The sequence below is a fragment of the Homo sapiens genome, chromosome 3, assembly GCF_000001405.40.
Source record: "Homo sapiens chromosome 3, GRCh38.p14 Primary Assembly".
NCBI classification, from domain to species: Eukaryota; Metazoa; Chordata; class Mammalia; order Primates; family Hominidae; genus Homo; species Homo sapiens.
The window spans coordinates 38,278,796-38,296,171 of record NC_000003.12 but is presented as its reverse complement, the minus strand read 5'-3'; the positions used below and the strand labels follow the sequence as shown (position 1 = coordinate 38,296,171).

Here is a 17,376-nt window from a genome sequence, read left to right as displayed (position 1 = left end):
CCTACCTTTCCTTCTGACTCATACCTCCTGGGTCCCAACCACGACTTTCTTGAAAGTGTAGCCCCAAAATTCTCCTTACCTCTGAATCTACTTCCTCCGATCCCTGCCTCCTAGGTACTAATGGTTCAGACTTTCATTTCCTCTAGCAAGTTGTATCTCCAAAGGGATCTAAGGAAGCTCTAGGCTGCATCCTTAGGCATCTAGGCTATAAACCCAGGGAGTCTTGTCCCTGGTGTCCCTCCTGATTTAGGTATATAGCTCTCAACATGGGCAGTTATGTGAAACCCATTCCCCACCATCCTTGCCAGGGCCCCAAGTTTGTAAATGGCTAAAAGAAGAGAGAGAGAAAGAGAGAGAGAGAGAGAGAGACAGACAGAGAGAGAGACAGACAGAGACAGACAGAGAGGAGAGAGACAGAGAGGAGAGAGAGAGACAGAGAGGAGAAAGAGGCAGAGAGACAACGAGGGAGTCAAAGAGAGAAAGAAAGAGAAAGATAGAAATAAAATAAAATAAAATTAAAAAAACCCAGTGTGCCCTACACCTTTAAAAGCCAGGGTAAATTTAAAACCTAAAATTGATAATTGAAGGTCTTCTCTGTGACCCTATAACACTCCAATACTACCTTGTTGTCAGTGTAAACAAGGACGTAACCTGAAAAAAACACTGAGACCACTGACAACCCATAGCCTTCCTATCAAAAATCCTTAACCCAGTAACCCACGGATGGCCCAAATGCATTCAATCTGTAGCAGCAACTGCTTTGCTAACAGAAGAAAGTAGAAAAGTAACTTTTAGAGGAAACCTCATTGTGAGCACACCTCACCAGTTCAGAATTATTCTAAGTCAAAAAAGCAAAAAGGTAGCTTACTAACTCAAAAATCTTAAAGTATGGGGCTATTCTGTTAGAAAAAGGTAATTTAACACCAACCACTGATAATTCCCTTAACCCAGCAGATTTCCTAACAGGGGATTTAAATCTTAATTACCGTACAAAGATCTGACAAGACCTAGGAGGAATTCCCTTCAGGACAGGACAATAGATGGTTTCTCCCAGGTGATTGAGAAAAAAACCACAATGGGTATTCAGTAATTGATAAGGAGACTCTTGTGGAAGCAGAGTTAGGAGAACTGCCTAATAATTGGTCTGCTCAAACGTTGGATCTGTTTGCACTCAGCCAAGCCTTAAAGTACTTACAGAATCAAAAAACTTTATCTCAATCCTGACTCAAAAAGTTACCTACACCCTCTCTGAAATGAATCTGCATAAGAACTGTTTATGAGAATGCATCTTGATGGGGCAAACTGGGTTGTTATGAAATACTCAGGAGCCCAGCCCAGCTCTAGGACTCACCCCTGAGCACAAAGGCAATGTTGGGCATGCTGGTAAAGTACCACTAGAAACCAGCAGCCCGGACCCCTTTCTCTGTGGTCAAGAAAGGTGGGAAAACAGGTGCAGGACTGCTACATCGGTGAGCATAACTAATCCAATAAGCAGAGGTCCATGGGTGGTTACGCACCCTGGAAAGGAATAAGCACTAGGACCATAGAGGACGCTCTAGGACTAATGCTCATCAGAAAATGACTAGGGGTGCTGGCATCCCTATGTTCTTTTTTCTGATGGGAAGCATTCCCCCCAAGGCAAAAACAACCCTAAGATGTATTCTGGAGAATTGGGACCAATTTGACCCTCAGACGCTAAGAAAGAAATGACTTATTTTCTTCTGCAGTACCACCTGGCCATGATATCCTCTTCAAGAGAAACCTGCCTTCCTGAGGGAAGTATAAATTATAACACCATCTTACAGCTAGACCTCTTTTGTAGAAAGAAGGCAAATGGAGTGAAGTGCCACATGTACCAACTTTCTTTTCATTAACAGACAACTCACAATTATGTAAAAAGTGTGATTTATGCCCTACAGGAAGCCCTCGGAGTCTACTTCCCTACCCCAGTGTCCCCCCGACTCCTTCCCCAACTAATAAGAACCCCCCTTCAACCCAAACGGTCCAAAAGGAGATAAACAAAGGGGTAAACAATGAACCAAAGAGTGCCAATATTTCCCTATTATGCCCCCTCCAAGCAGTAGGAGGAGGAGAATTCAGCCCAGCCAGAGTGCATGTACCTTTTTCTCTCTCATACTTATAGCAAATTAAAATAGACCTATGTAAATTCTCAGATAACCCAGATGGCTATATTGATGTTTTACAAGGGTTAGGACAATCCTTTGATCTGACATGGAGAGATATAATGTTACTGCTAAATCCGACATTAACCCCAAATGAGAGAAGTGATGCCATAACTGGAGCCCGCGAGTTTGGCGATCTCTGGTATCTCAGTCAGGTCAATGATAGGATGACAACAGAGGAAAGAACAATTCCCCACAGGCCAGCAGGCAGTTCCCAGTGTAGACCCTCATTGGGACACAGAATCAGAACATGGAAATTGGTGCCGCAGACATTTGCTAACTTGCGTGCTAGAAGGACTAAGGAAAACTAGAAAGAAGCCTGTGAATTATTCAATGATGTCCACTGTAACACATGGAAAGGAAGAAAATCCTACCGCCTTTCTGGTGAGACTAAGGGAGGCATTGAGGAAGCATACCTCCCTGTCACCTGACTCTATTGAAGGCCAACTAATCTTAAAGGATAAGTTTATCACTCAGTCAGCTGCAGACATTAGAAAAAAACTTCAAAAGCCTGCCTTAGGCCCGGAGCAAAACTTAAAAACCCTATTGAACTTGGTAACCTTGGTTTTTTATAATAGAGATCAGGAGAAGCAGGTGGAATGGGACAAATGGGATTTAAAAAAGGCCACCACTTTAGTCATGGCCCTCAGGCAAGCGAACTTTGGAGGCTCTGGAAAAGGGAAAGGCTGGGCAAATTGAATGCCTAATAAGGCTTGCTTCCAGTGTGGTCTACAAGAACACTTTAAAAAAGATTGTCCAAATAGAAATAAGCTGCCCCCTCATCCACGCCCCTTATGTCAAGGGCATCACTGGAAGGCCCACTGCCCCAGGGGATGAAGGTCCTCTGAGTCAGAAGCCACTAACTAGATGATCCAGCAGCAGGACTGAGGGTTCCCGGAGCAAGCACCAGCCCATGCCATCACCCTCACAGAGCCCTGGGTATGCTTGACCATTGAGGGCCAGGAGGTTAACTGTCTCCTGGACACTGGCACAGCCTTCTCAGTCTTACTCTCCTGTCCTGGACAACTGTCCTCCAGATCTGTCACTATCCGAGGGCTCCTAGGACAGCCAGTCACTAGATACTTCTCCCAGCCACTAAGTTGTGACTGGGGAACTTTACTCTTTTCACATGATTTTCTAATTATGCCTGAAAGCCCCATTTCCTTGTTAGGGAGAGACATTCTAGCAAAAGCAGGAGCCATTACACACCCGAACATAGGAGAAGGAACACCCATTTGTTGTCCCCTGCTTGAGGAAGGAATTAATCCTGAAGTCTGGGCAACAGAAGGACAATATGGACAAGCAAAGAATTCCCGTCCTGTTCAAATTAAACTAAAGAATTCTGCCTCCTTTCCCTACCAAAGGCAGTACCCCCTTAGACACGAGGCCCAACAAGGACTCCAAAAAATTGTTAAGAACCTAAAAGCCCAAGGCCTAGTAAAACCATGCAGTAGCCCCTGCAATACTCCAATTTTAGGAGTACAGAAACCCAACAGACAGTGGAGGTTAGTGCAGGATCTCAGGATTATCAATGAGGCTGTTGTCCCTCTATACCCAGCTATACCTAACCTTTATACTCTGCTTTCCCAAATACCAGAGGAAGCAGAGTGGTTTACAGTCCTGGACCTTAAGGATGCCTTTTTCTGCATCCCTGTACATCCTGACTCTCAATTCTTGTTTGCCTTTGAAGATCCTTCTAACCCAACATCTCAACTCACCTGGACTGTTTTACCCCAAGAGTTCAGGGATATAGCCCCCATCTATTTGGCCAGGCATTAGCCCAAGACTTGAGCCAGTTCTCATACCTGGACACTCTTGTCCTTTGGTACATGGATGATTTACTTTTAGCCACCCGTTCAGAAACCTTGTGCCATCAAGCCACCCAAGTGCTCTTAAATTTCCTTGCCACCTGTGGCTACAAGGTTTCCAAACCAAAGGCTCAGCTCTGCTCACAGCAGGTTAAATACTTAAGGCTAAAATTATCCAAAGGCACCAGGACCCTCAGTGAAGAATGTATCCAGCCTACACTGGCTTTTCCTCATCCCAAAACCCTAAAGCAACTAAGGGAGTTCCTTGGCATAACAGGCTTCTGCCAAATATGGATTCCCAGGTATGGCGAAATAGCCAGGCCATTATATACACTAATTAAGGAAACTCAAAAAGCCAATACCCATTTAGTAAGATGGACACCTGAAGCAGAAGCAGCTTTCCAGGCCCTAAAGAAGGCCCTAACCCAAGCCCCAGTGTTAAACTTGCCAACGGGGCAAGACTTTTCTTTATATGTCACAGAAAAAAACAGGAATAGTTCTAGGAGTCCTTACACAGGTCTGAGGGATCAGCTTGCATCCCGTGGCATACCTCAGTAAGGAAATTGATGTAGTGGCAAAAGGTTGGCCTCACTGTTTACGGGTAGTGGCGGCAGTAGCAGTCCTAGTATCTGAAGCAGTTAAAATAATACAGGGAAGAAATCTTACTGTGTGGACATCTCATGATATAAATGGCATACTCACTGCTAAAGGAGACTTGTGGCTGTCAGACAACTTTTTGCTTAAATATCAGCCTCTATTACTTGAAGGGCCAGTGCCGCAACTGTGCACTTGTGCAACTCTTAACCCAGCCACAGTTCTTCCAGACAATGAAGAAAAGATAGAACTTAACTGTCAACAGGTGATTGCTCAAACCTACGCCGCTCAAGGGGACCTTCTAGAGGTTCCCTTGACTGATCCCGACCTCAACTTGTATACTGATGGAAGTTCCTTTGTAGAAAAAGGACTTCGAAAAGCGGGGTATGCAGTGGTCAGTAATAATTAAATACTTGAAAGTAATCCCCTCACTCCAGGAACTAGCATTCAGCTGGCAAAACTAATAGCCCTCACTTTGGCACTAAAATTAGGAGAAGGAAAAAGGGTAAATATATATACACACTCTAAGTATGCTTACCTAGTCCTCCATGCCCACGCAGCAATATGGAGAGAAAGGAAATTCCTAACTTCTGAGGGAACACCTATCAAACATCAGGAAGCCACTAGGAGATTATTATTGGCTGTACAGAAACCTAAAGAGGTGGCAGTCTTACACTGCCAGGGTCATCAGAAAGGAAAGGAAAAGGAAATAGAAGGGAACCACCAAGCAGATATTGAAGCCAAAAGAGCCACAAAGCAGGACCCTTCATTAAAAATGCTTATAGAAGGACCCCTAGTATGGGTTAATCCCCTCTGGGAAACCAAGCCCCAGTACTCAACAGGAGAAATAGAATAGGGAACCTCATGAGGACATAGTTTCCTCCTCTCAGGATGGCTAGCCAACGAAGAAGGAAAAATACTTTTGCCTGCAGCTAACCAATGAAAATTACTTAAAATCCTTCACCAAACCTTTCACTTAGGCATTGATAGCACCCATCAGATGGCCAAATTATTGTTTACTGGACTAGGCCTTTTAAAAACTGTCAAGCAGATAGTCAGGGCCTGTAAAGTGTGCCAAAGAAATAATCCCCTACACTGCAGGCCATACATTTCAATCCCTGTCTCTTTAACCTCTTTGTTAAGTTTGTCTCTTCCAGAATCAAAGCTGTAAAACTACAAATCGATCTTCAAATGGAGCCCCAGATGCAGTCCATGACTAAGATCTACCACGGACCCCTGGACTGGCCTGCTAGCCCACGCTCCAATGTTGATGACATCGAAGGCGCCCCTCCCAAGGAAATCTCAACTGCATGACCCCTACTACGCCCCAATTCCGCAGGAAGCAGTTAGAGCAGTCATTGGCCAACCTCCCCAACAGCACTTGAGTTTTCCTGTTGAGAGGGAGAACTGAGAGACAGGACTAGCTGGATTTCCCAGGCCAACTAAGAATCCCTAAGCCTATCTGGGAAGGTGACCATATCCACCTTTAAACATAGGGCTTGCAACTTAGCTCACACCCGACTAATCAGATAGTAAGGAGAGCTCACTAAAATGCTAATTAGGCAAAAACAGGAGGTAAAGAAATAGCCAATCATCTATTGCCTGAGAGCACAGCAGGAGGGACAATGATCAGGATATAAACCCAGGCATTCAAGCCAGCAACAGCTACCCCCTTTGGGTCCCCTCCCTTTGTATGGGAGCTCTGTTTTCACTGTATAAAATCTTGCAATTGCACACTCTTCTGGTCCATATTTGTTACAGCTCAAGCTAAGTTTTCGCTTGCCGTCCACCACTGCTGTTTGTCGCTGTTGCAGACCCGCCGCTGACTTCCACCCCTCCGGATCTGGCAGGGTGTCTGCTCTGCTCCTGATCCAGTGAGGCGCCCATTGCCACTCCGGATCGGGCTAAAGGCTTGCCATTGTTCCCGCATGGCTAAGTGCCTGGGTTCATCCTAATCGAGCTGAACACTAGTAGCTGGGTTTCATGGTTCTCTTCCGTGACCCACAGCTTCTAATAGAGCTATAACATTCACCGCATGGCCCAAGATTCCATTCCTTAGAATCCTTGAGGCCAAGAACCCCAGGTCAGAGAACAAGAGGCTTGCTGCCATCTTGGAAGCAGCCCGCCACCATCTTGGGAGCTCTGGAAGCAAGGACCCCCTGGGTAACAACATGACAACGAATCACAGTGTGGGATCCTGGATTGGATCTCAGACTGGGAAAAGAATGTTAGTGGGAGAACTGGCCAAGTTCAAGTTAGGTCTATAGATTAGTTAATAGTATCATGTCAGTGTTAATTTTCTGGGTTAGATAAGTAAGATGCCAACATTAGGGGAATCTGGGTGTGGAAGGAATGGGAAGTCTGTGTTCATTTTTTTGCAATTTTTTTTTTTTTTTTTTTTTTTTTGTAGAGATAGAGTCACACTCTGTCACCCAGGTTGGATTGCAGTGGCACAATCATAGCTCACTGCAGCTGAACTCCCGGGCTTAGGTGTGCCTTCTGTCTCAGCCTTCAGAGAAGCTATGTCTATAGGTGTGTGCCACCATGCAGGGCTAATTTTTTTATTTTTTGTAGAGATCAGGTCTCACTTTGTTGCCCAGGATGGTCTTGAACTTCTGGCCTCGAGTGATCCTCCCATCTTGGTCTCCCAAAGTTCTGGGATTACTGGTATGAGCCACTGTGCCCAGTCTCACAACTTTTGTTAAAACCCTAAAATCATTTCAAACTAAGACGATTTTTAAAAACGGGAAACTTTAAAAGATACCATTTTTAATATTGAAATATAGATTAGGAACAATCTAACAAAATACATACAAGACACCCATTAGGATGACTATTATTAATTTTTTTAATCATTTCAAACTAACATGATTTTTTTAAATGGGAAACTTTAAAAGATACCATTTATAATATTGAAATATAGATTAGAAACAACCTAACAAAATATGTACAAGACACCCATTAGGATGACAATTATTAATTTTTTAAAAGAAAAGGAAACAAATATTGGTGAGGATGTGGAGAAATTCGAACCCTTTTGTATTGGAATGTAAAAGGGTGTAGCCACCATGGAAAACAGTATGATGGTCCCTAAAAAAATTAAAAATAGGAGTACCATTTGATCCAACAATCTAATTCTGGGTACATACACAAAAGAATTGAAAGCAGGAGCTCAAACAGATTTGTACACCCATGTTCACAGCAGCATTGTTCACAATAGACAAAAGGTGGAAGCAACACAAATGTCCATGGATGGATGAATGGATAAAGAAAGTGTGGTGTATACATACAATGGAATATAGATCAGCCTTAAAAATGAATAAAATTATAATACATGTTACAGTATGAATGAACCTTGAAAACATTCTGCTAAGTGAAATACCAAATCACAAAAGGACATGTATGATTACACTTATATGAGGTACCTAGTCAAATTCATAGACACAGAAAGTAGAATGGTGGTTACCAGGGACTGAGGGAGGAGGAAAAGGGGAGTTATTATGTAGTAGGTACAGAATTTCAGCTTGGGAAAATGAAATCGTTCCGGAGATGGATGGTAGTGAGGGTTGCACAATGATGTGAATTACTTAATGCCACTGAACTGTGCACTTAACAATGGTTAAGATGTTAAATTTTGTGTTGTGTATATATTACATTTTAAAAAATGGTTTAAAAATATGCACAAGACCTATGTGTAAAATAATGATAAAACATACAGAAATATATGAAGAAAGAAAAGTAAATGTAGAGCTATCTCATGGTCATGAATAAAAGTTGTCAGTTCTCCATATTGATCTGTAGATTCAACACAACTCTAGTCAAAATCCAAAAGGTATTTTTTATAAAATTATTTTTGGCAAGAAGATTCTAAAATGTATATTGAAGGACAAAGGGCATAAATACCTAAGAAAATTCTGAAGAATAATAAGAATGATGTGCCCTGCAAATTATCAAACTTTATTATAAAGTTATATGAATTAATGAGAATATGCCAACATAGAAATAGCTAATAGAAAGCCCAGAAATATATCCATGCAAATTTAAAGTTTTGATATCTGAGAGGGGAGTGGCATGATAGGTCAGTAAATGGAAAAATAAATTAAAATTAGATTCATCATATCATAAACAAAAATTCCAGCCCTATTAAGGCCTTAAATTTCAAGAACAACACTTTTAATAGAAAATATAAGGGAATCTATTTCTGACTTTCAGGTGAGGAAGGATTTCCTAATCAAGACACAAAAACTATGCTGTTTTGTGCTAACCACAAAATTTTAAATTTATAAATTTGACTACAGGTATATAAGAATGTGTAAATTGTAGTATATTTATACAGTGAAATACAATATAGCAATATTAAACTTGCCAAATTTAGCAATATAGCAGTTTTAAGCAGACAAAACTTAAAAATGAAAATCTTAAAGTGGAAAAAAACTGGACACAACTGGAAGGAGATATTTGCACACACACACACACGCACACACACACCTATATCTGAAAAAGGACTAGGATCAAGACTATGTAAAGAGTATGTACAGAACCACAAATCAAGCCAAGCACAGTGGGTCACACCTGTAATCCCAGTACTTTGGGAGGCCAAGGTGGGTGGATCACCTGAGGTCAGGAGTTCAAGACCAGCCTGGCCAATGTGGTGAAACCCGGTCTCCAGTAAAAAAAAAATACAAAAATTAGCCAGGCATGATGGTGCACACCTGTAATCCCAGCTACTCGGGAGGCTGTGGTAGGAGAATCACCTGAACCCAGGAGGCAGAGGCTGCAGTGAGCTGAGATCTGGCCACTGCACTCCCACCTGGGCAACAGAGCAAGACTCCATCTCAAAAACAAACAAACAAAAAAAAAACCCACACAAATCAGGGCCAGGCACGGTGGCTCACGCCTGTAATCCCAGCACTTTGGGAGGTCGAGGTGGGTGGAATCACCTGAGGTCAGGAGTTCGACACCAGACTGGCCAACATGGTGAAACCCAGTCTCTACTAAAAATACAAAAATTAGCCAGGCGTGGTGGCACACGTCTGTAATCCCAGTTACTCGGGAGGCCGAGGCAGGAGAACTGCTTGAAGGAGGCAGAGGTTGCAGTGAGCTGAGGTGGTGCCACTGCACTCCAGCCTGGGTGACAGAGCGACTCTGTCTAAAAAAAAAAAAAAGAAAAGAAAAGAAAAATGGGCCAAAGACCTGAACAGGTATTTTACGAAGAGGAAACTCGTGTGGCCTACAAACATGTGAAGATGCTCAACCTCTTTAATAATGAGGGAAATGCAAATCAAGACCATGGTAGGATATTTATACTCATTTGATTGACAAAACTTTAGAAGTTTTTTGTTTTTTGAGACAGTTTTGCTCTTGTTGCCTGGGCTGGAGTGCAATGGCACAATCTCAGCTCACCGCAACCTTCACCCCCTGGGTTCAAGCAATTCTCCTGCCTCAGCCTCCCAAGTAGCTGGGATTACAGGCGCGCACCACCACACCCGGCTAATTTTGTATTTTTAGTAGAGACTGGGTAGGACGGGTTTTCTCCATGTTGGTCAGGCTGGTCTTAAACTCCCAACCTCAGGTGATCTGCCCACCTCGGCCTCCCACAGTGCTGGGATTACAGGTGTGAGCCATCATGTCTGGCCAAATTGAGAAGTTTGATAACACCAAGTGGTGGAGAAAACTATCTTGCATACATTCCTGGCAGAATTATTCATAGACCCACTTTGGAAAACAATTTGGCATTGTCTTATAAAGTTGAATACCTGTATACCTTATGACCCAGCAATGCTACCCCCAGGTATATACTCTAGGGAGCCATTTGTACATATGATCCAGGAAATAAGTACCAAAATGTTCATGACACTTTTCAACTGTGAAAAAAGAGCCCAAATGCACATCAATGAAAGAATGCCTAAATTGTAGTAGATTTATATAGTGGAATACAATATAGCAATGAAAATGAAGAAGCTTCAGCTCCATCCATCAACCTGTATGAGTCTCAAAAACAGGATGTTCAGTGAAAAAAGTAAGCCTCAGAAAACTGATGCTCTTTTTATAAAGTTTGGAAACAAGCAAGACTAAAGAAATAATTTCAGTATGTCATGCAATAAAACTATAGATTTTTTTTAACAGCAAGGATGAAATTCAGGAAACCATCTCTGAGGGGAGACAGAGGAATGATGTCAAGGAAGAGGTGGACTGAAATCATTAGAAATGTTCTGGTGCTTTGGGTGGGTGATGGATTCACACGTGTCTGTTTTTATTTTGAAAAAATATTGTGCCCAAGGACCCTCTCCTGAAACATCCACTCCTGCTCTTCCTGCAGGGCCCCCTCCCCTCTGCTGGAGACTGATAAAGGCAGCAGTCCCCCACTGTGGTGGGGGTATCCCCTGTTTAGTGTAGTGAACTTCTGCCTGCTACTACTTGCTCTTAGTATTTTCCACAGCCAAAACTCATCTTCACATTGATCATGTTAATGGCTACGGAATCTTTGTTAAGGTGCTGTTTACTTCATGGTAGCTACTGGGCACCAAGGCTGTTTCTCACTGCTTCCTCACTACCCCAGACAACTTTTCTGTACACATTATGGTGCAGAAGGCTGTCTTTCTTCCCTGGGCTAAGGTCCAAGAAGTAGGATTGTTTATATGGCTCTTATAACATAGGCTCGTAATGTCCTCCGGAAAGAGCAACCCATTTCAGAGTCCACAACAGTTCACGAGGTGTCCATTTCCTTACAGTCCCACCAGCAGCATTGGGTCTTATAATTTGTATTGCTTTTCGGTCATTTCGTAGTATGATGAGAACCCTTGTCTCTGTTCTTGTGATTTTTTTTTTTTAATTTTGTGGGAGGCTGATCACCCACATTGTCAGGCCAGGTGTCCTTGAAGGGGACATTCTTCCATGTATTCTCACATTTCCTACGCTCTGGTCCTTCGTCTCACGGGAACTTGCTCCCTAAGCACTGCAGAAGACACTGAGGCATATTGTAATGATTAGCGGAGGCCTCCTTTCTAAGTTCTTCCTCTCATTTCTGCCAAGATCCCTGCACATTCCCAGCATTCTGGGAAAGTTTCTTCAGAGAATTCTTTAGAGGACGGGCCTTGGCTGGGACACCAGGGGCCCTTGCCTGGCTGGGGATGGCACTGTGGTGGGCCTAGAGGGCAGGGATCTGTGGGGAGGCCGAGCTGCATTCGCCAAATCTATCCCTCTTAGGCCGGCCCTGGAGGAGTGACCCAGCCTGGCCCCCAGCCCCCATGGGGTCCTCACCTGGGCATGTCACCAAGCTGCCCCACTAGCCCTAGCCAAGGCTAGGGCCACTTTCAGAAGCCACCATGAGCCCCTCGCTCTACTATCGGACAGGGCGGACAGGGATGGAGAAGAGCTGTCTGCTTGAGGAGGAGTCCCCTTTCCCTCTTGGGCCCCTAGTTTTCTACCAGTCACACGAGGGGGATGCCTCCTTCTCAGACTGCGACTGCTGTTCCATAATCCAGGGAAGAGGTCTCCAGCTCATCGTCTACGGGACAAATCCAGCCTGCAGACACATTTCCCTTGGCTAGCCCATTTGGTGCCTCACTGTGTCTTGGAATGTGATTTAACTGCCAAAAGTTGATTTCACATAAATGCAGCATTTTCTTTTTGAAGTTTGGCCAATGGGACAGCATTCCCATCTGGCAACAATTAGCAAATCTGAGCAGGGGCCCCTCCTTTAGACTGAGAGTCTGCTCTGTTTTTTGTTATTATTGTTGTTGTTGTTGTTTGTTTGTGAGACAGAATCTCGGTCTGTCACCCAGGCTGGAATGTAGTGGTGTGATCTCGGCTTACTGCACCCTCTGCTTCCTGGGTTCAAGTGATTCTACTGGCTCAGCCTCCCGAGTAGCTGGTACTACAGGTGCAAGCCACCACGCCTGGCTAATTTTTGTATTTTTAGTAGAGATGGGGTTTCACCATGTTGGCCAGGCTGGTCTCGAACTCCTGACCTCAAGTGATCTTCCCGCCTCGGCCTCCCAAAGTGCTGGGATTACAGGCGTGAGCCACTGCACCCGGCTCCTGCTACTTCTGATGTGTGCATGCAGGAGGCCCAGCAGAGCCCAGCACCATTTCCCCATTTCACTTGTCTTTGCCTCCTGCCTGGCCCTGAGTTCGGGATCCCTTATCTCAGCAGAATTTGGAGGTGCATAAGAGGCAGGGAACACAGAGGGAGAGCATGCTTAGATGTGTGTGTGCTGGGAGGTGGGGGAGGCTGCATAAGCGCCCCCCGGAGAGATCTATGCCTAATCCTCAGAACTCGTAAATATGTTTCCTTACATGGCAAGGGGGGTTAAAGTTACAGATGAAGTTAAGGTTACTACTTAGCTGACTTTAAAATAGATTATCCTGGATTGTCAGGTAGGTCCCATTAATCCCAGGATCCTTAAATGCATAAGACCCAAAGAAATGCAGCGTGATAAAGATTTGGGCAGCCGTCGGTGGCTTTGAAGATGCAAGGGGTCCCAGAGCCAAGGAATGCAGGAGGCTCTAGAAGCTGGAAAAGGCAAGGAAGGAAATGAGCTCTGCCCTAGAGCCTCCAGAAAGGAAGGCAATCCTTCTGAGACCTTGATCTTAGCCTGCTGAGGCCCATTTGTTCTTCTGACCTCCAAAACCATAAGGTAATAAGTCTCTGCTGTTTCAAGCCACTAAGTGTGGGCATTTGTTATAGCAGCAATAGGAAACCAATACAGGATGTATGTGTGTAAGGCTGGAGAGGGTGGAGGTGGATAAAGGAGACTTTCCAGGGAGGGAGAGCCTCCGCTGTCCTCTCAGAGATGTGGCTTCTGGACCAGAGCCATCTGTACCAGCCTCCCTCTGCAGGGACCGCTTCAGCATCCCCCAGCACCACCTGATACCCCAATACCCTGGAGCACTCACTCCCTCTACTCATCCCAAAGGTCCTCTGCCAGGTGGACAGGCCCCAGGCAATTGGCTCTCAATGTGCCAAAGAGGTAACTGAGGCCTGGGAGAAGCATAGCCAGGAGGAGCACTCCACCTGCCGCAGGAGATGGCCAGACGCCACACCTGAGAACTCACGCTTTCTGGGAGGGCAGCCCGCTCCTTCCACAGATTCCCCACAGCCAAACAGGCCCAGGCAGGCTCCTGTCCACACCTGTGCTGAGAACGCGGCCGCAAAATTGCCAGGGGTCATCATAATTTCTACTCTCCACACCCTCCCGGCCCTGCCTCCCTGTAGGCAGGACCGCAAGCCAAAGCCAGGGCCCACCTGACCACAATCCAGGCCCAGCCAGACCCTTGGAAGCAGAACCTTTGAGCTCCACTGGTGTCCAGGAAGTAGTGTCACAATGGGGTGGGGAGGTCCTTGGGGTGAGCTGGGAATGGTGAGGGTCAGCATTCTACTCCAGGGACACAACTGGCTGTAGCCTCCAGGGGCAAGGCAGGTCAGGAAAACTGCCACACGAACCCCCCTGCCCCTGTCTTTGTGCAGGCTGTTTCCTCCACACGAGGGCTCCACCTCCACTCTCGGAAATTCTCCTGTCCTTCCAGATATCACTCATTTATCAACTATCCTTCAAGCCTTCCTGAGCCCACAGCTGGAAATGGCTTGGCCCTACCCCACTCACTTCTGCTCTGTCTCTCCGTGACACTCCCCTGCCAACCAGCCTTGGTCAGAGCTGCCGGGGTCTGACCCATCTCCCCCATAAGCTAGAAGCCTCCTCTGCCAGATTGCAGGAACAGGGCTTCAAGCTTCATGCTTGGGGGAAGGGAGGCCAAAGTGGCAGGACAGGAAAACCAGCACAGGGCCTAGTACAAGGCAGACCATCCTTGTACCAGTACAGCATGTACTTAGGACCTCAACAAAATTAGAGCATTGCTATGGCTTAATATTTGTCCTCTCCAAAACTCATGTTGAAACTTCATCTCCAGTGTGGTAGCGTGATGGGGCCTTTAAGATGTAATTGGGTCATGAGTGTAATCTGTTAATCCATGAATCACCAATCATGGATTAGTAGATTAATGGGTTAATGAGTTATGAGAATGGGACTGGTGACTTTATAACAAGAGGAAGAAAGACAAGCTAGCTTGCTCGGTTCCCTCACCTGTGCCCCCTTGGGAGACTGCAGAGTTCCCAACAGCAAGAAGGCCCTTACCAGATGTATTCCCTAAACCTTGGACTTCCCAGCCTCCAGAACTGTAAGAAATAAATTTCTTTTCTTTATAAATAACTCAGTTTCAAGCAGTCTGTTATAAGCAACAGAAAATGGACTAACACAGACACTTAAGACACAAAAAAAAATTAAAAGAATTTCATATATTTGAAAAAAAATGAAGTATTGATCACAGGGAAACCTACTTACAGCTCTTTTGCAGTTTCCTATGGCTCAATCTTCACTTGTTTGGGGGCAGGGCACTGCAATCTTATTGGTATCTGGGGCATCAGATCCTTCCTCTTTCACCAGACCTCCCTCGGGGTGTCTGCAGGTCACCTCAGTGGTTGGTCCTAGGCCCCTCATCCCCCCTAGAGTTCCCCACTCTTGAGCAGCAGCACTCTGGGGGTCAAAGGGACCAAGCAGACAGCACAGTGAGCACCCAGAAGCCATCAGTGAGACTGAAGAGCAGGGTGGGAGCACCCCTTTGTTTTGGTTTGTTTTGGTTACATAAGATCCCAGAACTCGGCTGGGCATGGTGGCTCACGCCTGTAATCCCAGCACTTTGGGAGGCTGAGGCAGACGGATCACCTGAGGTCAGGAGTTCAAGACCAGCCTGGCCAACATGGCAAAACCCTGTCTCTACTAAAAATACAAAAATTAGCCTGGCGCAGTGGCGCACACCTGTAATCCCAGTTACTCGGGAAGCTGAGGCAAGAGAATCGCTTGAACCCAGGAGGCAGAAGTTGCGGTGAGCAGAGAATTGCACCACTGCACTCCAGCCTGGGTGACAAACTGAGACTCCTTTTCAAAAAAAAAAAAAAAGATCCCAGAACTCTCTGGGTTGAGAAGAGCCCCAATAACAGCTGAGATGAATTTCCAATCAGCTCAGCAAGATGGAGGCTCATAGGCTAAAGAAACATTCTGTTGCCTGCAGATATGAGTTTACAGAACAAATATTCATACCAGCTACAAATGTTGATTGCCTTTGTTAAAAATTTAGGAGGTCATTTTTGTTTCCCTTGGTTACAGGTTGAGAAAACTAGTAAATATGAGGGTCAGATTGTTTCTAGGCAGAAAGGGGCTTGCTGTTCAATGTGCTAGAAGCCAATATGATGACACCGGGTTTTTGAGAAAAGAAAAGCTTGTAATTATAGGCCGGCCGACACGGAGACAGGAGTCCAGCTTGAATCTGTCTCCCTGGGCTGGTGCTAAGGCAGTGTTTTTATTAGAAAAGGTGTCGGGATTCTGAGATTAGCAGGTGATTAGTGGAAGGAAAGAGGAGGCCTGGAAAGTCCTCCAGCATGCGCAGTTCTCTTCATGACACCTCATAGATCACATGGGCAGGTACGGGGGGAGTGAGTATGAAACACGCAGTGGAAATTCAGGCTGTGATGTCAGCAAGCAGGTACTGCACAGACTCTAGTTGGCCACATTGGTTCCAACCTATTTTAGCCAGCTTTGTTGTCTTACAAGTGGAGGGACTTTCAGCATCTCAGCAAGTTGTTTCTTTGCTTACCTACCATCCTGCAAACTCAAGAATTTCTGTTAGTCATTGGTGTCTTTAACTGTTTGGGGCACAGTTTCGCTTTCACACACCTGGACTAAATGTTTAGGACTGATAGTCACCATTGCCGTAACCTTTGAGGAGCAAAATCAAGGAGATACACAACCAGGGTCCAGTGAAGCTGCATATCTTCTCCTTCAGAGTCCCAGAGGCCTCAGCAGCCAACCTCCCATCAGTGACTGCTAAAGGACACTTACCCATTCATCAGAGCAAACCACAGGACACTTTTAAATACACACAGAAAAAAAAAAAAATCTTTCTCCCCAACCAACCATAATCCCCCCAAAAAGGAAAGAAAAAGTCTCCAGGGACCAGGCATGGTGGCTCATGCCTGTAATCCCAATACTTTGGGAGGCCGAGGTGGGCGGATCACGAGTTCAGGAGTTTGAGACCAGCCTGGCCAACTTGGCAAAACCCCATCTCTACCAAAAATACAAAAATTAGCCAGTCTTGGCCATTCAGGTCTCTTCCTGGGAATGACAATCATTCCGTCTTAAAGGGAGCAAGTGTCCATATCTTAGAGGAGGAAACTGCCTTTAGCTGGGAAATGGCCCTTTCCCCACTTCTATCTGGTTTTCCGCACCCCTTGGCAGTTTCAGCCTGAGAGACACATTGTGCCCAGAAAGACTTGCTAGTATTCCCCAAGAGGATGCCATGAATGGGCACACAGTAGGAAGCTAAATAGAGCTTTTGTCTAGCACTTCAAAGCTGAGAATCGTGAGTGAGGAATATCCATGTGTTTGGAAGACAGGTGCTGAACACTTCCATGCTGGGTTTACAGGAAACTGGTCCAGCATCTACGCCCAACCCCGAACCAGCCATGCAGGAGAAGGTGAGCAAGCTGGGGTGCCTGTGAGAAGAGAGACTGAAACCTTCTCCCTAGTGGGAGGTTAGCTGGGGCAAGGCAGGGGCAGTGGCCAGGCAAGCTCTTTTTCTATCTACCATTTGGTGACACAATGATATATGGTGTTCTTGCAGGCTAAGGAGGTGCTGAGGAAGGCAGTCCGGCTTGAGGTCTCTTTATGGGCGCCCATCTAAGAAGGCCATCTTTTTTTTTTTTTTTTTTTTTTGAGATAGAGTCTCTTTCTGTTGCC

The 17,376-nt window shown here is 45.3% G+C and overlaps 1 protein-coding gene across 7 annotated transcripts in view; it reads right to left on the bottom strand.

The window, feature by feature from the left end:
- SLC22A14 (solute carrier family 22 member 14) overlaps positions 1-17,340 on the bottom strand; it is a 39,744-nt gene extending 22,404 nt beyond the window's left edge. For 4 of the 7 annotated variants that reach the window (XM_006713416.4, XM_006713418.5, XM_006713417.4 and 1 more), the window contains exon 1: positions 13,719-17,340. In XM_006713416.4, coding sequence (XP_006713479.2) covers positions 13,719-13,961 — 243 coding nt within the window. In that variant the 5' untranslated portion in view covers positions 13,962-17,340. Of the gene's footprint in view, positions 1-13,630 lie in introns of all 7 variants that reach the window. The other 3 variants (XM_047449237.1, XM_047449236.1, NM_001320033.2) reach the window with 3 other exon arrangements.
- Positions 17,341-17,376: the final 36 nt, after the last annotated feature.